This window comes from Homo sapiens, chromosome 2, assembly GCF_000001405.40.
Source record: "Homo sapiens chromosome 2, GRCh38.p14 Primary Assembly".
NCBI lineage: Eukaryota > Metazoa > Chordata > Mammalia > Primates > Hominidae > Homo > Homo sapiens.
In genome coordinates, this window is record NC_000002.12 from 134,565,091 (window position 1) to 134,586,452 (window position 21,362).

Consider the following 21,362-nt stretch of genomic DNA (forward strand, 5'->3'; position numbering starts at 1 on the left):
AGCCAGGTGTGGTAGCGCGTGCCTGTAATCCCAGCTAGTCAGGTGGCTGAGGCACACGAATCGATTGAACCCAGGAGGCAGAGGTTGTAGTGATCTGAGATCACAACACTGCACTCCAGCCTGGGTGACAGAGCAAGACTGTCTCAAAAACAAAAACAAAAACAAAAGTGATCTTACTCCATGACCCAGCTATTCCATCCCTAGATATATACTCAATGGAAATACATACTTATGGCTGGGTGCAGTGGCTCATGCCTGTACTCCCAGCACTTTGGGAGGCCGAGGCAGGTGGATCACCTGAGGTCAGGAGTTCGAGACCAGCCTGGCCAACATGGTGAAACCTCGTCTCTACTGAAAATACAAAAATTAGCCAGGCGTGGTGGCAGGAGCCTGTAATCCCAGCTACTCGGGAGGCTGAGGCAGGAGAATCACTTCAACCTGGGAGGCAGAGGTTGCAGTGAGCCAAGACTGAGCCACTGCACTCCAGCCTGAGCGACTGAGGGCAAGACTCTGTCTCCAGAAAAAAAAAAAAACCATACATACATATGGATACTTGAAGATGCTTACAAAATGTTCACAGCAGTGTTATTCCTAATTGCCAAAACTGGAAACAGCACAAACATTGGTCAATAGTAGAAATGGATAAACTGGTGGTATATTCATCCAGTGAAATACAACAATGACAATACATGAATTACAGCTAATCACAACTACACGTATGCATCTCAGCAAAGGCAAACACAAAAGCACTCATTGGATAATCTATGTATGATTTGGTTTGTATAAAGTTCAAAAATAGACAAAGCAAATCCACAGTGGTAGAATTCAGGCTGGTGGTCACCTCCAGGGCAGGGAGCGGTGTCAAAGACGGGGCATGAACAGGTCTTCTCAGGTGGGAAGATGAGTGTGAGTGGTGGCTACACAGCTATGTTCACTTTGTGAAACTTCATTAAGCTATGGGATTTTCATCAATGATGCTTCTGTATGTCTATTATACTTCAATTTTTAAAAGAATACTTGCAAATCACTAAATTTTTTAAAAGCCCAAGAGCCTAAAAGATAAGGCAAGAAAGCAACATGAACATGCAATTTTAGAAAAGGAATTTAAAATAACTGATAAACATAAGGTAGCAAAACTGAAAAAACGAGAAGAAAATGAAGATCCGTCCCATTTCTACCTTTTACAATGGCAGATATAAAAGGATTTTGCTCACGCCTGTAATCTCATTTTGGGAGCCTGAGGTGGGTGGATCACAAGGTCAGGAGTTCGAGACCAGCCCAGCCAATATGGTGAAACCCCGTCTCTACTAAAAAACACGAAAATTAGCCAGGTGTGGTAGCACGTGCCTATAGTACCAGCTACTTGGGAGGCTGAGGCAGGAGAATCGCTTGAACCAGGGAGGTGGAGCTTGCAGTAAGCCAAGATCATGCCACCGCACTCCAGCCTGGGTGGCAGGGTGAGACTCCATCTCAAAAAAAAAATTTTTTTTGCAAATTCTGAGTGCTGGTGAGGGCATGAGGACAAATGTCTCATTTGGTGTCAGTGGGGAAACCTCTTAGAGGTGCAGCTTGGAGATGTTTATCAAAATGTAAGATATACATTATTTGCATCCAACAAGTTCTACTTTGAGAAATATATTCTACATTTATACTGGCACAAATGCAGAAAGAATACATACAGGAGTGTTTATTACAGATGTATAACAACAAAATATTAACCACTTAGGCATCCATTAATAAGAGAGTTGTTTAATAAATCACACATGCATACCATAAGATATCATTAAGCTCTTGAAAAAGATAGATGTGTAACGCTGCAAAATGTAGTGACAGAATAAAGCAAGGTAATTAATAGATTATCAAAGCTTCTGTGTGTGCATGGGTGTGTACAGAAATTTTTCTTTATGATACAATTTCAGAGAAGCTACACAAGAAATTCCAGATGATTTCCTCATTAGAAGGGCACTGGGAGTACAAGGTTGAAAGGCAGCTCTCATTCCACCGTACATCCCTCCATATGCTTCGGTTTTCTTACTCTGTGTATGTATAATATCTGCACGTATTTCTGAGGCGGGAGATAGGGGTTCATGCTCCACAACCAAAGAAAGCAGCCAAACCACTTTCCACATAGCCACTGAGAATCAGTAATTATGTGGTTCCTTGCCATCACTGACTTAAATGGGATTTGGCCAAAAAGAGCTCGTGCAGCGAGAGATTTAAGTTACAGATATTTTAAACTACCTAGGTGTAGTCACCACTTATACAGTTACAAAGCAAATAGATCCTGATTTGCCAATATTCACAAAATAAAGAGTCAGGAGCTGGGCGTGGTGACTCACACCAGTAATTCCAGCACTTTGGGAGGCCGAGGCGGGAGGATCACCTGAGGTCAGGAGTTCTAGACCAGCCTGACCAACATGGTGAAACCCCATCTCTACTACAAATACAAAATTAGCCGAGTATGGTGGCACAAGCCTGTAATCCCAGCTACTCAGGAGGCTGAGGCAGGAGAATTGCTTGAACCCAGGAGGCAGAGGTTGCAGTGAGCCTAGATCACACCATTGCACTCTAGCCTAAGCAACAAGAGCAAAACTCCATCTCAAATAATAAATAATAATAATAAAGAGTCAGAGACTTTCCAAAATTTAAGTCCCCAAGATAGCACCTTTCTCCATTTGCAACAAAACCTTTCCTTCCTAGTTGTGGATGATGTTAATGGGGAATCAAGAGGAGGAGGAACAGATCCAAGTCTTTGCAATGATGTAACTCTCTTGGACAAGCCCTGGGCAGATACAAAGGTCAGAGAACACATTCTGCAGTGGCTAAAAAAGGTCCACTTGGCTATATCGTCTCCTCTGTTAGGGGCTGAAAACCTATGTGTTTCTCCTTTTTAAAGGTTGCCATCATATCCCAAGCAACTGCATAGTCTTAGCATTCTTCTAACTTAAAATAAAACTAGACTTAAGTAAGATTTATAATAGAATAAGGTAATTTACTCAACAAATATGACTCCCTTTATTTGAAAGTGTGTGGTAACTGATATATTGTGGGGTGCCCCAGATCTATCATGTTCCAGTAGGGCATCACCAGCTTTCATTAACTTTGAGTGTAAGTATACAGGCCACATAGAGAAACAAGAATAAAGGAAAGAAGGCAGGGCGTGGTGGCTCACACCTATGATCCCAGCACTTAGGGAGGCAGAGGCAGGCAGGTCACTTGAGGTCAGGAGTTTGAAACCAGCCTGGCCAACATGGTGAAACCCTGTCTCTACTAAAAATACAAAAAAATTACCCAGACATGGTGGTGGGTGCCTGTAATCCCAGCTACTTGGGAGGCTGAGACAGGAGGATTGCTTGAACCCGGGAGGTGGAGGTTGCAGTAAGCTGAGATAGCACACTGCACTCCAGCCTGGGTGACACAGTGAGACTCCGTCAAGAAAGAAAGAAAAGAAAGAGAAAGAAAAAGAAAGAAAAGAAGGAAAAGAAAAAGAAAAGAAGGAAAAGAAAAAGGAAAGAAAGAAGGAAAAGAAAGAAAAAAGAAAGAAGAAAAAGAAAAGGAGAAAAAAGAAGGAAGGAAGGAAAGAAGGAAAGAAAAGAAAAAAGGAAAGAAAGAAAAAGAAAGAAACAAACAAAGAAACAAAGAAAGAAAGAAAAAAGAATGAAGGAAAGAAATCTTAGGTCTGGCTTCTGAATTAGCAAATGTATTAGCTATCCATGAGCCCTGTGAGCATTCTAAAGCAAGGAGAGTACGACCACAAAGACATCATCAGATCCATCAACCAATCAACACAACTTCACAGGAGAAGTCTGGGGAATCTGTCACAAGAACAAACATGAAAGATAACAACTCTCAAAAGTGAGATTCAGACACTCCATGAAATCACTATGCCAAAGACCCACAGTGACGCTGGTTACCAGTTACAAATAGCCTGGACTGAGTTCTGATAGGATTTTATAGATGGAGAGCTGTGTTTTTGACATTCTACATGAACCAGAACAATTTCCCAGTGATATTGAGCTATAAATCAAAAATGAATCAGTGTTGATGCTTCAAAAGAAAATAAAAATAGGAGTCATAGTTTTTCTTGATCCAATGACAATAATTCTTCCCTGACAGCATCAGCTTTACTTCTACTCAGTGCTAATAAATAACTCATAACCAGGTATCAGGGCAGTGAACTGAACACTGCCATGGTTGGACCACCACCCTTAGGGTTTTTCAAAACAAGTTCCTTAGACCCTGTAGGTTTAAGCCCTAAGGGACCACAGTGGGCCCCTCATCCCACCCCCACATCATTTCAATCAGAACGACTTCTTTATCATTTCCATTAGGAGCGAGAGTTATGTCAAAGATTTACCTGCAAAGATTTAGCTAAAAAGAACACTTGGAAAACACATATAAATGAAACACATATGAATGAAGACCCCCTAGCCACATTCATCCTTGTAGTTAGGACTGGAATTCTAGCCATAGTCACATCCCCAGTCCCTGGCCCAGATCGAACCTCTAATATAATTATTACCCACCAAGAAAATAAGATCGTATTCTGTTTCAGTACTCAGAGACGGTTCTCAGAGACATTCATCAACTACCTCCAACCAACACTCAACTTCATGGAAGCCATGTAGCCTTTTCCTGGGATCCATATACAGTAGTCCCCTTTGTCCATGATTCTACTGTCTGCAGTTTGTTACTCACAGTCGACTATAGTATGAAAATATTAAATAGAAAATTCAATAACTAAATGATCCATATGTTTTAAATTGCAAGCTGTTCTGAGTAGTGTGATAAAATCTCACACTACCCCACTCCATTATTCCCTAGACATAAATTATCCTTTTGTCCAGCAAATCCACACCATAGACACTCCCTGCCCGTTGGTCACTTATTAGCCCCTGGGTAATCAGGTCAACCATCATGGTATCTCAGTGCTTGTGTTCAAGGAATCCTTAATTTACTTCATAGTGGCCCCAAAGGCAAGAGTAGTTGATGCTGGCAATCCATGTATGTCAAAGGTATGCTGTAAAGTGCTTCCTTTAAGTGAAAAGGTGAAAGTTGTTAATAAGGAAAGAAAAAAAAAATCACATGCTGATGTTGCTAAGATCTACGGTAAGAATGAATCTTCTATCTGTGGAGTTGTGAAGAAGGAAAAAAGAAACTTGTGCTAGGTTTGTTGTTGCATCTCAAAATGCAAAAGTGTCACAGTGCATGATAAGTGCTTAGTTAAGATGGAAAAGGCATTAATTTGTGGGTACAAGGCAGGAACAGAAATGTATTCCATTAGGTGACAATCAGGTTCAGCACTATCCAAGCTTACAGGCATCCACTGGGGGCCTTGGAACATAGCCCCCACAGATAAGGGGGTACTACTACATATATATATACATATACATATACATATACATATACATATACATATACATATACATATACAACATAGTCATTTTTGCTCATTCTGCCCTCCTTACTTCTAATAAAAGAAAGCCTCTTTTTTTCTAAGGAGGGGCTGTTCCTTTTTAGTGGAGCAGTTGACAGTAATATGATCCTATCCTGCGTCAGAGGAAAGCAAGTGACCAAACTGCAGAGTGTCCCATTCCCTGGACACAGTGATAGGACAATCAGAATCCTTTTTCAGAGACTGAGATAAATGGTGCGACAGAAAAGGTCTTCCTCCCCTGATACTGTAAGGGCTAGGACCCTTTGGGGTCAATTCAAGGCCACTTGTGTAGAGAACCAGCCCAAGAATGAAGCTGACATAGAGGAGAGAAGAGAGAAAGGAGAATGGAGGAAGTGAAACAGGATTCTGACATCATTCGACCCCATAAATCTGGCCAGTTACATTCTGAAATGCGTTCTCATTTATTTTGCTTAAACTAACATGAGGATTTCCATTGCTTGTAACTGTGATGCTCTCAGCTGCTACCACATACATATGTCTCTTTTAATCAAAATGCTTGATGCTAAAGCTCATAGTACTACCCCACTCATCTTGGCATCACCTCAAAGATAAATTAGGAACCGATTCACACAAGGAATTTCTTCAACAAGTTCCCCTCAAATTATAGATAGCCTCAGTCTTAAGAATCCAATTATATCTAATTCAAAAACACAGAAGGACACACCAATATGGAAAATACACAGTGAACAGAATAATGGCTGAAATGGCATTGCCCATATACTGTCTCGCTTTCCATTGACCCTTTCTTGCTTGTGTTTCTCACAATCAAAAGCGTTTATCTAATGGCCAACAAGGCTATGGTTTGACCACAGAACAGGGGAGCTTCTGCTGGCTCATCCCCACTTGCCTCTGCCATGACATTTTTCTCACTACCAATTTAAGGGGAACAAACACCTGAAATACAGAAATAATTTTTACTCCGAAAAAAAAAATCTAAAGCATTCTACTTACAAAATACGTTTTCAGAGAGCTTTAGAGTACCTATATTAGGGGTCCCCAAGACTAATCCTAGCTTTGGTGACTCACAAGAGGGACTCACAGGACTCAGCATATAGTCACACCCATGGCTAAGATTTATGACAGCAAAAGGATATAAAGCTAAATCGGCAGAAGGAAAAGGTGCATGGAACAAAGTCTGGAGGAAACTAGGCATAAGCTTCCCAGAGTCCTCTCCCAGTGGAGTCACAGAAGGCATATTTAATTCCTCTAGCATCAAGTTGGGACAACAGGTGCAAAGTGTTGTGTACCAGGGAAGCCTGTTAGAGACTCGGTGACCAGGGATTTTACTGGGGGCTTGTTGCATAGGTCATATACTGCCTGGCATGTACCAGAATTCCAGACTTCTGGAAGGAAAGCAGGTATTCAGCATAAACCACATGGTTTGTACAAATGGTTTGGGCACACTGAGCCATACTTCTTTATGGAAAGTTTAATATTCACATAGGGAACTACTTACTAGCTATGTTGCCAAACAGTACCCAAGGGCCAACCTTGCAAGCAGGCTTTTCTAAGGATAGGGAATCCCAAAACAGCTCTATTAACCTTCTCTACACAAGACCAAAGTTGAATTCCTCACATGAAAAAGAGAACTGAGCCCTGAGACATGGAGCACCTTGCACAAAATCACACAGCAAAGCTAGAACCAGCACCCAGGTCTCCAGGATTGCAGAGAGAAGATGTCGTCAGCCACACCCCCAACATCTTCCAAAGATGCCTGTGTTTCCCAAAGTCTGTCCACTTCAGAGCAGAGACTGCAAATTGATGTGAAAATAGCTCTGTTCTCAGTCCACAAATTCGCCATGGCAACATTAATTACATCCCTCACTTGAAAGTTTCACTGATGGAATATAATTTTTAATATTCTACCACTATCCCTCCTCTTAGACAAAGATACCTCTCCAATCCTATTTAATTATATCTGAAAATATCCAGTTCATTACCACCTTAATTAAAATCATACATCTTCATTTAAAGCTGGAGGAGTCCTTAGAGATGGTCTATCTATTTCAACGTCTTTATTTCACAGAAGCAGTACTGTGGTTCAGAGAGGAAACAACTTGACTGGGCCTCCATCATCAATAGGTCTAAATGCCAGGGCCAGAATCCTCCCCACTTGGCTTGATGTCACGTGCCCTTCCTGCTGCCTCTTGCTGTCCTACCAAGCCAGACTCTCAGAATTCGGAAGACTGTGTGCTTATTATAAACCCTTCAGCGCTTAATGATCTGAAATGAGCTCCACTTCATGACCTCTGCAAGGAGGCCTGTACAGCCCTGCAAAGAGGCAATATTCCTGAAATTAGAGAATAAAAATGATTGCTGCAGTGGCAACGATCTCAAATGACATTTAGGTGTGATTTATACGCATCCTCTTTTAAATATATGCAGTTACCCAGAAGTACAACACGCTGTTGAATCTGGAAAGAATCAACATGCCTGGGACATCTTGCCCCACAACCAAAGCTGCTGGACTGGCTACCGAGGGATCTCCCACACCCTGTCTAGTTCCTGAGCAATCTGTGATTCTTTCAGGCTCAACTGGCCTGAAAGAAAATTAAGGGGCTTATTTACATGGCCCAAGGAAACAGAGATTCAGTCTTCCCCACATGTTATTATCACACTGCACAAAGGAGCCAGAAAGGCATGAACACAGAAGAGCAGTCATTTCTCTCCAGAACAGATTCTCATTGTGCATCATCCAGCAACTAGAAGAACCCAAGTGCTGAGAATGCTTCCCTATTCTAACCTGAAATATCTGTCACATCATAAAAGCTGATGGATAGAAGGGGCTCAGTCTAGAAAGTAGTATTTAAATGTATCAGAAAGGTATAAGCCAGTGTTTCTCAACCGGGGGCACTTTTAGCCGCCAGGGGGTATTTGGCAGTGAGACATTGTTGGTTGTCACAGCTGGAAGAGAGGTCATCACCACTGGCTTCTAACAGGTAGAGGCCAGGAATGCTGCTAAACAGCCTACAAGGTACAGGGCAGCCCCACAGCAAAGAATCAGGGCCCCAAATACCAATAGCACCCAGGCTGACAAACTCCCTTCTAGGCAGATACAGGCCAATTCACATTTCTTGAGAGGGTGGAGACAGATGTGATGCCGAGAGTTCTGTGCTGTTTCAGTGTTAAGTGCAATGACATATAATAAAAATGAGAAAACAGAACTAAAAAACACAGTTAACCAGGATTCCAGTTCCCATAAATTTTAGACTGAATTTTAGTTTATTTCACTGTTTTAGGCTTTGTGTCTTTGCATTCTGCAACACTTCAAATGCCTTTTGTTTCCAACTGGGCCATTCTGCTTGGGATGCAGTAGCAATGCTGCCTCCATTTCTAGAGCCCAGGAACCCAGGGAGTAAAGAACTCTCAGGGTGAACTTCCGGAGGGACCCACAGAACACAGCTTGCCCAGACAGCCATCAGCTATTATGTGGCCTGTGTTCCAGAGCCTCTGGCTACTGCCCAGAAGTTTGTGTTTTTAATTATGTTTCTAAGAATTTACAGCCAAATTTTAGAAACCACTGTGAAAACACTGGGAAATCAAGATAGCAATTAGGAATAAGAAAGAAAACTCATACTACCAAACACCGTAGCAGCACATCCTTATAATCTAGGCAACAGAGCGGGTGCATACTATAAAAATAAGATTTGCAAATTGTGCTTATAGAAGAAAAATAGCCAAGCATTAAAAGAGCTAGGACATAGGCTCTATTCAAAATCTAGAAGACACAGCCATGTACAATGGCTCATGCCTCTAATCCCAGCACTTTGGGAGGCTGAGCCAGGCAGGATGCCTGAGCCCAGTAGTTCGAGACCAGCCTGGGCAACATGGCAAAATCCCATCTCTACAAAAAACACAAAAATTAGCCAGGTACGGTGGCATGCACCTGTAGTCCCAGCTACTCGGAAGGCTAAGGCAGGAGAATCGCTTGAGCCCAGGAGGTGCAGGTTGCAGTGAGCCAAGATCGCGCCACTGCACTCCAGCCTGGGCAACAAGAGAGAAACCCTGTCTCAAAACAAAAACAAAACAAAAAAAATCTAGGAAGATGTGTTCAAATGTCATCTTTTCCAAAATTATTTAGTACTTGTCGGGGTCTTCCAGTGTTCCTCAAATTTGCACCAAGAAAACGTCCACCTGGATGAAGAAATTATCTGAAGACCAAATGGGACGGTTAGCTCATTAACAGGATCCAGCATGCTTTCATGTTTCCCAGCTGCAAGGAAGGAGCAGACTGCCAGATGGCTCGATTTGATGCAGCTGTGTAGGAGATTTGCTGCCTAAGGGCTCCCAGGTGAGGGATAGAGTGGCTGCTGAAACCCAGGCCGTTAGGCTTGCTGGACTGAGCACCTTGGCATGGGGTTCCATCTACATTAGGAGAAGAGGGCTTTTTCTAATATGCACTAAGGTCCCCGTGGTGTAGCAGGGCTGTAACTGTATGGTAGAGAAGGCATGGTCCATTTGCCAAGCAAGGCCAGCCCAGACATGTGGGGCTCTGTGGGGGGGTGGGGGAAGGGGACCATGTGGCGGTCCTGAGCATGCAAAATGGGAGGCCAGAGGGAGGAAGGGAACGCAATGACCTTCTTGGCGCTGTAGGGTTCTTCTTCCACACAGCTTGAGTGGGAAGAATCGAGAGGAAGTAAGTGACCACAAACCACAGGTACTGAGAGCTGGGAATAAACTTATAAAGATGGTTGGCCTTGATTTTTCATCTACAGAATGGACCCTGATTAAGCCATTCTGGAAGCAAATCCATCTGCCATCTGAACCATGGTCAGGCCCCTACCCCACCCCCAGTGCCCACCATTCCTGCTGCTGTCAGCCAAGAGCCAGGCCGAGAATCGCCCCCTCAGCTGTCAGACACCCTGATGTCATACTCACACTTGCCTTCAATGCTAGGGGCCTGCGGTATGTATAGAAGTGGCTGAAAACAATCTCTGCCTCTTAGGTCACAGTTTGGTAGAGGAGAGAGGCACACACACAGGGTTCTCATTGTTTTTCCTAGCTCCATGCCATCCCTCTGGGTCACGCTTTCATGAGATGTGTCACTCGCCACACGGAGTGAATGCCCAGCACCCTAGGAAGGTAGAAGAAAGCTAAGCAGCTATGAGGGTCCTTAGCTTTAGCTCCCTACCAAACCGGACCATAAGAGAGTGCAATTCCTAAACAGGATCTGGTTTCATGGAGAGAGAACACAAAAGACTGCACAGATGAACCTAGTTTGATTTAAGTTAGGCAGATTTCAGCAGGTGCGTGGGAGCAGGTGGCATTTATGAGAGAACATCCTAAGTCAAAACGAGGCATGTCTCGGGGAGGCAGGTCTCCAAAAAGGACAGGCCCCAGGAAGAGTGAGACTCCTGGGGACCCAACCACACAGAGGTGAGCCCAGGATGCAGAAGGTCCTAGGGAACACCTGTGCTTAAGAAACTGGGCAAAGATGGGAGAGCCAGTGAAAGAAACAAATGACACCCATGGGCACAGTAAGATGAGGATTTGAAGGTGCAGGGCTGTGCGGTCAAGGGAGGGTTTTCAGGGTGGTGGCCACAGACGTGTCCAAGAATAACTCCTGAGGAAAAGGTATTTGACTGGTCAGCTGGAGCGGGGTGGTGTGAGACCAGGGGATACAGAGGAAGAATTGAGGGGACGTGAGGATTCTGAAAAGTCCTGGAGATCTTAGGAGGAAAGATGCTAAGAATTAGGTTATGGACTGTGACTTGCCTGTGAAATTCTACGAAGTGGTTTTAGTCGTGAGACAAGCCTGTGACTGTTGCATTTCTCACCAAACCCTAAACCAGAAAAATAAAAATGCCACAAGGGCCTGGTATGGCCACACCTGGGGGAAAACTGTATCCCCAATGCTGATGGTTTAATCTCATATAGACCTAATTTTAGCTGACAGAATTAAGCTCCCCTAACATAAAAGGGCCACCCATTAAGTGGCAATAAGAATTTTAACCTTGAACAAATGGCCCAGCAGGACTCCTTCCCAATCACACAGAATGCCTCTCAGAGGCCAAGATTTTCTTTTTAGGAGAGAAAGGTCTCCCACACAAAAAGGAACCAAGAGGAGAGACAGATAATGGCCTGGCCTCTCCTGAGTCTCTGTTACAAAGCTGAAGGTTAAGGGCCAGCAGGGGTCATACCTTTCTTAAAATCTGAGGCATCTGCAAGTATTTACAAGTCCTGAAAAGAAAGGACAAACTTGGCACCTTGCAGACAGGTCCACCTAAGTTCCTCTGATGCACAGGAGTTCCTTCCTTTCCCAGAAGGAAAACACTATCTCAGGATGGGAGGTGGGGAACAACCCTTTTACCTCCTAAACTGAACTATTAAACACAGACATTAATATCTACTCACTGCTGAGATGCTGCAGAGCCAACTCTTTCTAAACCTCATAAACGCCTTTATGCATGATCACATTCCATCCCAACTATTGTCTGCCATGTTCCGATTCCTCTGGCCTGGAAGCTCCAGGAGCTGCAGCTATCTTATTCCTATCTGTGAATTCCTGCTCCAACCTTACCCCAGTATGAGGCTGAGACCAGCACAAAACAGACACCCAACAGACTCTTCTTGAACTTAATTAGGGTACCTGCCATGTTTTGAGCCTTTTTTGATAGACATTTAATGTCATATACACACACGTAGACATGCACACGCATAAAGATATGGACACCGTCGACTCTAATTTGATACCTTCTGAGAGCCCAAATCTGTGTTCTTTCTCTGTAGCACACATCGTGGCTCTTCATATGGTCTTGTTCCTTCCCTCAGGAAACACCTATATCAGCCAAGGTCCCGGCAGGGACCAGAAGTCCCTTTAGACGGCGAAAATGAAGAGATTGTAACTTACTCTCAGGGTTAGGGGAGGCACAGCTGGGACGCTGAGGCATCAGAAATACACAAGGGTCAGAAGCCAGTTCCTCGCTGAGGGCTGCAGTGAGAGGAGGAGACCATCCGCAGAGCAAGCTGGAGCCCTGCACGAGGCGCTGACTGAGAAAGAAGCTAGTCCAGAGGGGCTACAGCCAGAGGTGCAGGGCCAGGAGAGAGGGGGCAGGAAAGGGACCAGCCTCTCTCCTTTTCACACTGCAGGTCTCCGCAGGTGTTCCCAGGTACTTCAGACACACCTATCTCAGCTGGGAGGCATTTCCCCAGCCCTCCCCACCCACCCTTGGGAGCCTCCGTGCCCACCAGGTATTTACAGTCAGCCCTTCTCTGTGGGTTCTTTATCTGTGGATTCAATCAACCATAGATCGAAAACATGTGGGGGGGAAAAATACAACAATCAATAATACAAATAAAAACACAGCATAACAACTATTTACATAGCATTCACGTTGTATTAGGTATTGTAAGTACATCTAGAGGTGATTTAAAGTATACGGGAGGATGTGTGTAGGTTACATGCAAAATACTATCCCATTTCACATCAGGCTCTTGGGCATCCAGGAATTTTTGTATGGGGAGGTCCTGGAACCAACCCCTCTCGGGTGCGGAGGAATGACTCTACTTCTATCATAAAAAAAGAAATGTTGAACCCTTTTAACCCTCCAATTTTCCTATTTTTGATAATACAGTTATATTAGTTCCATAACTTAAAAATAAGAGGAAGAGAAAGGGTAGTTTTAGAGGAGCTGTGCAGTATTCTGGCAGGCTTTCATTAAAAGTCTTAAGCACAAGATTTTGCTCAAAAAAGAAAAGTCCACTTACAGATTCTGCTCACACTATTTCCTGTTCTGGATGTGCCCCATTTCAAAAGGATTACTCTCACCAAAGCCAAACAGAAGCACCCAGACACACCCAACTAAGGGAAGAGCAGAATATTTTGTGTATGTCAATGCCTCCACTGCACTGGTCTCGCCTTTCTAGAACCAGAAATGTAACGCGTGATGTTCCTGTCAGCCAGTTGTATTTGCAGCTTGTCATGCCCGTGAACAGAGAAGCATTTCCCATCGTGGTTAGCGTCTGTATGTGTAATGTTGCATGCAGCCATTTGGAAAGATTGGATAACGAAGAGCAAAAGGCATTGGACAACCTTTCCCCCACAGTACAATTAGTGTGAAAAATACTATGCACAACCAAAGTAATACTAACAAGCAGCTGTGATTATTCCCTTCTCTGCATGTCCAGTAATCTGACACAGGGCCTAGACTCAGCAATTCAGATCATGTAAAATCTCATGGCCTAAGAGATAAATAACTGGTTTGAGTGTGTGTGTGTGCATGTGTGTGTGAGAGGCAGTGTGTGTGCATGTGTGTGCATACAAAGCAACAATTTTCCAAGTGGAGCCTAACTGCATTTTCAGAAGGGAGGTAAAAAGAGACTGCTCTATTCACCAACAATCTCACTAGATTCCCTCCACCCCAAATTCCCTACCACAGAGCTACAAACTTCCATCCTGGATGCACCCAGTATTTGAATGGAGAGAGCGATCACAAAAGGAAGTAGATGGTTCAGTTATTCCTGCAGGAGAGAAACTTCAAAAGTGAAGTTTCCAGCACCCCAGGCTGGATGGCGTCAGGCCCTCCTGGGTGGGAGGATGCGTTGGACCTATCATGTCCCACCTGATTTTTTACAGCAGGCTGTCATGTGAATGGCTTCCCCCAAATCCTCAATTCAATCTAAGAAGACACTTTTATATCTACAAAGGGGCAACTATTCCCATTAGAACTTTTGATGCAAGGATTACTGGTAAACTTTCCAGTTTATCAAAGCATTTATAGTGTGGGGCACAGAATTCTTTCACGAAGTTCGTTTGTTTTTCTCACGCTACAAAATAAAATGGATTTAAAAATCACATCACCATAATCTATCCATCTACAAGTATAACTCTAAAGCTGTAAGTGACATAATGTTTTAGGATGATTCTTCCATGATTTTTTAAAAACAAATATGAAGTTTCTAACACTGAGAAGCTTTTTGGACAGACTCACTGTCCAAATGAACAGACTCACTGAATTTAAAAGTTCTGGATTCACCTACGTCCTGAATGTTCTTGCTGTCATCACCTAAACAAATCCATCCTTTTTTTTCTTTTTCCTGTTTTCTCCCTTAACAAAGGAGCTAATGAACAGGGTGAATGCTCTCCTAGGGGTAGGAAACTAAATTGGTTCCACAGGGCTTCGGAAGAGATATACTGGGATTTGAATCCAGTCCTGCTCTACACCAGCCATAAAGACAGGGCAGATTGTTTAATGTTTCCAAACCTCAGTTATCTCATCTGAAAAGTGAAATACTCACAAAGTTGTGAAAATTAAAAGAAATCTATGTAAAATATCAGTCACATAGTAAACAATTTACTGCATGGGTATTTCGTGCTGAAAACTTGGCCCCCGTGCTAATGGTAATGATTTGTTCTCTCATACAGGGCATGAAGGACCTCACATGATACCAGACTGAGAGACCTAGTCTTTAAAAAAATAAAATGATGACAAGAAACAAAAAGTACCTTAGGTACCAAAGCTCAATTATCAAACCAGAGTACTCAGTAAGATTTGAGACTTAAGAAAAAAATCTCAATCCCAGGCTTTCATCAAGCACTTCAATAAACAAAGCAGAAGTATTTTACCTGTCCAATTACGTGGTAATAAAGGAATTTTCTTAAATTGAGACGATGTATTTTCACGGCACATTAAATGCTAGATGTCTGCACCTCAATGACTTTTGTACTGAGGGAAACAAAGGTGAAGAGAGTTAGAATTCATTAAGGGCTGAAGATTAATTAGGCCACCTCAACCCCATGAGTCACAGCCATCAATTTAAGAGACGTAACAGCATACACTGGATTTTAATTAGGAGGGTTACAAAACTGTTTAAGAACCAAAGCCCAATTGTCAAGCCCAATTAAGCAGGCTGATGGAACATACTATGTGGTGCTATAAAGTGTTCCTTTTGCAAAAGAAGTGTAAAATAAAATCCTTGTTCAAGAGCTCACTGGCTTCCCCACATACTATATACTATAGTAAGTGTATACGGAATAAAATTCATTCATTTATTGTGCAAAGGATGTCAGTCTTTGAGACAACAAGAAATTAATCTGGAATTAGCCCAAGATCAATGCAAAAATAAGTCAAACAACCCTAGAGGCCGGGCGCAGTGGCTGCCACCTGGAATCCCAGCACTTTGGGAGGCCGAGCCAGGTGGATCACTTGAGGTCAGCAGTTCAAGATCAGCCTGGCCAACGTGGTGAAACCCCATCTGTACCAAAAAATACAAAAATTAGCCGAGAGTGATGGTGCATGTCTGTAATCCCATGTACTCAGGGGGCTGAGGCAGGAGAATCGCTTGAACCCCAGAGGTGGAGGTTGCAGTGAGCCAAGATGGCTCCACTGCACTCCAGCCTGGGTGACAGAGCGAGACTCTGCCTCAAAAAAAACCAGCCCTAGGACAGGAGCAAGATGTGGATGGTGGTTCTGGGTTTGACTAACCAATCTCTCCAGGCGGGGCTTCATGAGATAACCTCTGGGGCTCAATTCAGTCCCTGGACCCTCTAATGAAGACCTAAACTTCCTGACCATCACAGACGCAGGTGCCAAGAACAACAGAATCAGGGCAGGAGGGCACTGAAGGGAGAGTCACAGACACATGGGGCAAATCCGACGGAAAAGGATTTGTAGTCCAATATATACATTTGCTTCCTGAGGCACCATTTCTGGTTAACCTTGATCTTCCTTTTTTTTCTTTTTTAAACCAAGCTTCTATCACCCAAAGTAGCTACTTGATGAATAACTCAACAAGCTCCTTTCCCTTAAAAGGCCAACTAATTTTTTTTTAATTAACTAGAATATACATAACACAGAAACAATTTTCACATCTTCTTCATAAGTGTCTACATGCAAATAGCCTTAGCAACACATCATGCTTATCTCTTTCAGAACATATCTAAAATTCTCCACTTTACTTTGGTGAGAGAAATTGAATGTCAACATTTATGTTCATTCCAGAACTGGGTCCACTTCCTTCCAAATGTAAAATAGCAGCTGCCACCCCACTCTGGCTGCATTGCTGCACTGCCCTTCCCCCAAACAAACCACCAGCAATTCCCCCACTTACAGGAGCTGGGAACATTCTTCATGCTCTTTATGGGGGCGGGGGGGAGATGAATTTTATGAGGTTGATGAGAAAACAAGTTCAAAAGTCAAGTCAGCTCATTTTGAGGGGAGGATCTCCTACCTTTAGTTTCCCCATACTTTCCCCTTGCCCATGTCAGCATATGCATATACACATGTACAATAATGATACCAGAGTGACCAAAGAACACAACTTTACAAGAAGCAGCAGAACCAAAAAGGCAACTACCCTTCCATCTCCCTCCTGCCCTTGAACCACTGATTCTCCATGTTAAATATTCCATCGTTCAAAATATGGCTACACATATTGAAGACTTTGTCCTTCCTAACGGTGTCATAAAGCTGAAGGGTTTCCTTGTCACCATGAGTGCGCATAGAAGTATCAACAGCACTGCAACCAGCACTGCTTGGGTTCACACACACGGCAGAGAACCATGAGAGAGCACAAGGTATGCAAGAGTTTAAAACTTTCAGTTTCCTAGAAACCACAGTCATGTCAAAAAGGGAAGACAAGAAGATCGCCATGTGCTATGGGAAGATGCCTAATTAGAAAGGAACTAAAAGAGAGGACAAAGGCTGGGAAGGGGAGTAAGTTTTGCAAAATTGTTTTCTCATCAACTTCAAAAAAGGCAACCCAAATCCCCCAAAGAGCATAAGGAATGTTCCCAGCTCCTGTAGGTGGGGGAAGGTCAGTATGGTAGGTGCACCTAATAGCAATAACTTAAGAAATGACAGCTGCCATGCGGGGGCCGCTGCTAAGTGCAAGTGCTCTACAAACCGCACGCTTTTTGCAAGAGGTTGCAGTTCTCCTGTCCAGTCTGCCACCTTTGGACTGTTCCTGCATGTAAGTTCTCACAAATAAAACCCCATATCTCATTTGCTGGCTCTGGGTCTCTTCTCTGGACTCTTGAACCTAGTGCCGTCCCTGTTGAAGTTAACTGGAGTCTGACAAGACAAAAATTCACGTCAAAGCTTCACTCAGACTAATCAGAAACCCAAGCCCAAGCTGGTGCATGGTGGTGCTAGGTCCTGCCATGTGATTCTCATGACTTGCATACAGCCACTCAGTCATCATAAGTGCTGTCTCTGAAACAAGGAAGAAAAAAATAATCATGTCTCAAGCTGATGCTTTAGTTTTGGCAACAGTGAGTCACTGGCAGGTGAGGAAGAGGAAGTGGTGATATCTCATGTGGGGGCTGGGGGTCGCCTCCATCCTGAGAGGAGGAAAGGTAGGGGGCAGAAAAATGGCTTCTGGGTCCAAGGGGCCTAAATTCCCTTCTACCTGCAAAAGTAGAGAAGAATCCACTGGCTTGAACACACTCCACATATATGCTAAGAGATCTCTACTCTGGGACCATTCTTCCTATAAAAATGGCACTAAAACATATTTCTCTATTTTAACAGGCATCTCTGTGCAATGATTATTTGGATTTTAAAAAAATATGAGAAGAACTTCATTTCTGCTTAGTCCTGTGGACAGAGAACGGTGGAGCTTCACCAGAAAGCTCCTCTCAGCACAGCAGTCACAGCACCAACTTTGGAATCCAGCTACCCAGATTTGAATCCTCATCCCACGCTGGCAAGCCACATAAAATTGGACAATTTATTTAATGTCTTTGTGCCTTGGTTTCCTTCCCCACAAAATGGGAGTTCTACCTAATGGAGTTGCTCTGTATCAAGAGAGCTGACACATGGACACATTTAGACCCACAGCAAGTGCTTACTGGCATGTAAGTTTCTAATAAATAGTTCGCATCATTATTACCTTCTGGGCGCTTTGTATTTGTCACTTACAGTGATAAAAATTTCAGACGGCAATCTAAGAAGAGGCTCCTAGAGTTCGAAGAAACAAAAGCAATAAAACCAAGTTCAGCACCATGACACTTCTCACTCAAACCCCATGGAGAAGGCCACGACCCCTAGAAATGGGAGGCCGTTTGATCTACAATCGAGAAAGAACTCAAGGGCCAATAACGAAACTGAAGGCAATGGAGTTCTCGGAAAAGGGGTTCACCACATCCATGCAGCTACTGTCAGCCATGCTGTAAAACCACTAACAGATCTTTCATAGCCTAGCACTCACGCACCATCACTCCCAGTGACCTCATGGTCCCCTCCCCTCCCCTACATCTGCTCCAGCCACACTGTCTGCCTGCCCCCTATGAGATGCCCCCTGCTCTCAGGCCCATGGCTTGCTCTCTGCTCCCTCAATCCCTCCCATCTTTGTAGCTTTCTCAGGGAGGCTTTTTCTGACCACATTATTGAACGCATAACTGCTATTCCTGTCCTCCTCCATCCCCTTTCTGGCTTCATTTTTCTCCATAGCATCCCTCACAATCTAATATGTATTTTATTTCTCACTCCCTGAGGCAGGAATTTCTGACCATTTGTTCACTGCTCCATCTCCAGGGCCTAGAGCAGCACCTGGCTCCTAGTAGTGCTGAATAGATGGGCTACAAAATCTCTGCACAGGAAATGCAGACTATTGCTTGGCAGATGTAAAGGTTAAATGATAAAGCAAGCACATCACTAAGCTCTCCTTGCCCTGCTCCAGGATAAAGTCATATTTTGGATGCCCTAATTGATATCCAAGTATAATTTCTCAACTGCTGCCAGCAGCAGAACTAAGGAACAATGAAAAACCTTGAAATGAAGAACATAAACAGATCACGCTGCCAAGAGACGGCTGCATCAGGGAAGGGCAGCAGCCTCTAGCAAAAACCACAGACTCACTGCCCAGCCATGGTGTCTGAAGCAACATCCACAAAAGCATGTGTGCACTAAGATCCTACAAGGCAGAGGTCATGGAATGAATGTCCAGAGATCATTATGTAGGATAGCCAGGTGGCCTATATGCCTGCTCTATGGTCACCCATGTGAAAAATCACAGGTGAAAAACCCCTCCCCATTAACTAAGTTCCAGGCAAGGCACAATCCTCAATGTTTGTTTGGAAGATAAAGTACCCAGAAACGTAAGTTTCTTGACCATTGCATTTTAGAAGACCTCTCTGAAATTTCTAGTAAAAAAAAAAAAAAAAAAGTACAAAGGCATGTGATAAAGACTCGAGACTCTTGCTAAAGAAATAAGAGAGTCTGGGTGGCCAGAGAGTCTGGGTGGCAACTTTTACCGGATTCAGACACAAATGTTCATTCAAATTATCTATAATGTGAAAGTATCCACAATGTGCCAGGTACTAAGCTTAGCATGTAAACTTAGAGTAGTATTTCCATTTCTAGCTAAGGAACATGAGGCTCACCAAAGGCAATGACTTGTCCAGAATCAAAGAGCTGGTAAGCAGCAGAGTCCAATGCCCAGCTCCAGACCCAGCACCAGTGACCTGCCAACTACTCCACAGACACTTCAGGGACAGGACACTTCATGGATGCCTGGGTATTCTTCATATAGAACTTGAGAGGCCCCTAAACTGTGAGCTCTGCCTGCAGACATTTCATTCTCTTATAACTATGTCACATGTAGAGATCTTTATTAAATCTAACCATCACATTTCAACCCCACCTGGAAACAGGGACAGAAAGAGATGGCAACCTCGTCCTCTTTTTTCTTTTTTAGAGACAGGGTCTCACTGTGTTGTCCAAGCCAGATTCAAACTCCTGGGCTCAAGTGATCCTCCCACCTCAGCCTCCTGAGTAGCTGGGACTATGGGACTACAGGCACAGAGTCTGGCTACCTCACACTCTGGACCTAATAGATTCTCAAGTGATGGCTGCAAATAGAACCATCTAGTAAAACCTTTAGGCAAGTTATTTAATCTCTCTGTTCCTCCATTTCCTCTTAGAGGGTTGTTGTGAGAATCAAATGAGTTAATACATTAAAAATACCTGGAATGGCCGAGTGGGGTGGCTCACGCCTGTAATCCAGCACTTTGGGAGGCCGAGGCGGGCAGATTACGAGGTCAAGAGATAGAGACCATCCTGGCTAACACAGTGAAACCCCGTCTCTACTAAAAATACAAAAAATTAGCCGGGCGCGGTGGCGGGCACCTGTAGTCCCAGCTACTAGGGAGGCTGAAGCAGGAGGATGGCGTGAACCCGGGAGGCGGAGCTTGCAGTGAGTCTAGATCGCGCCACTGCACTCCAGCCTGGGCGACAGAGCGAGACTCCGTCTCAAAAAAAAAAAAAATACCTGGAAGAGTGCCTGGCACAGAGTCCATGCTCAATGAATGTTAGCTGTTATTATCAATATTTCTTATAAACATAAAGCAAAATTGGAATATTTAATTAACAAATAGTCATGTGAAGAACCAGTTGCTTCTTCAAATATTTATTAAATATAAAAGCCAACATTTTAGTATAAATGCCTTATAGTATATGTTCCTCCCAGGGAAGATTTTTGTGCATGGACTTAAGACTTTTTGAAAGAAGAGCCCAACAAAGTCTGGAATGAAGAGCAAGCAAGGCTCTAAGGACCACAAAACAGTGTTCAAAGTTTGGGTCATCAATTCTAAGATGTTTTACAGTTGAGTCAAGATACATATATGACACTGAAATTCTTCGGATGGCACCTGTTGGAGAAATGGCTGTTTCCAGGGCAATTTCCTTTTCTTTAGTGATTCCTTAATCTCAGGCCAAGCTTGTATTAGTTGGCAAGGGCTGCCAAAACAAAGTAACACAAACTAGGTGGCTTAACCAGGAGAACTTTATTGTCTGAGTTCTAGAGGCTAGAAGTCTAAAATCAAGGTGTGAGCACCATTGGTTCCTTCTACAGGCTGCAGAGGAAACTGGCCCCAGCCCTCTCTCTAGCTGCTGGTGGTTTGCTGGCAAACTTTGGCATTCCTTGGCTTCTGCTGCATCACGCTGATCACTGCCTCCATTTTCAC

General features: G+C 43.6%; 1 protein-coding gene across 1 annotated transcript in view, besides 1 other annotated feature; it reads right to left on the reverse strand.

Annotated features, from left to right (window-relative positions):
• TMEM163 (transmembrane protein 163) overlaps positions 1-21,362 on the reverse strand; it is a 263,242-nt gene that overhangs the window by 109,332 nt on the left and 132,548 nt on the right. The window lies entirely within an intron of this gene.
• Positions 18,663-18,712: an enhancer, noted in NCBI's record as "active region_16563". NCBI's record gives its function as "activates an Ori minimal core promoter by ATAC-STARR-seq in GM12878 lymphoblastoid cells {active_cell/tissue: GM12878}" and the evidence as "EXISTENCE:reporter gene assay evidence [ECO:0000049][PMID:35858748]".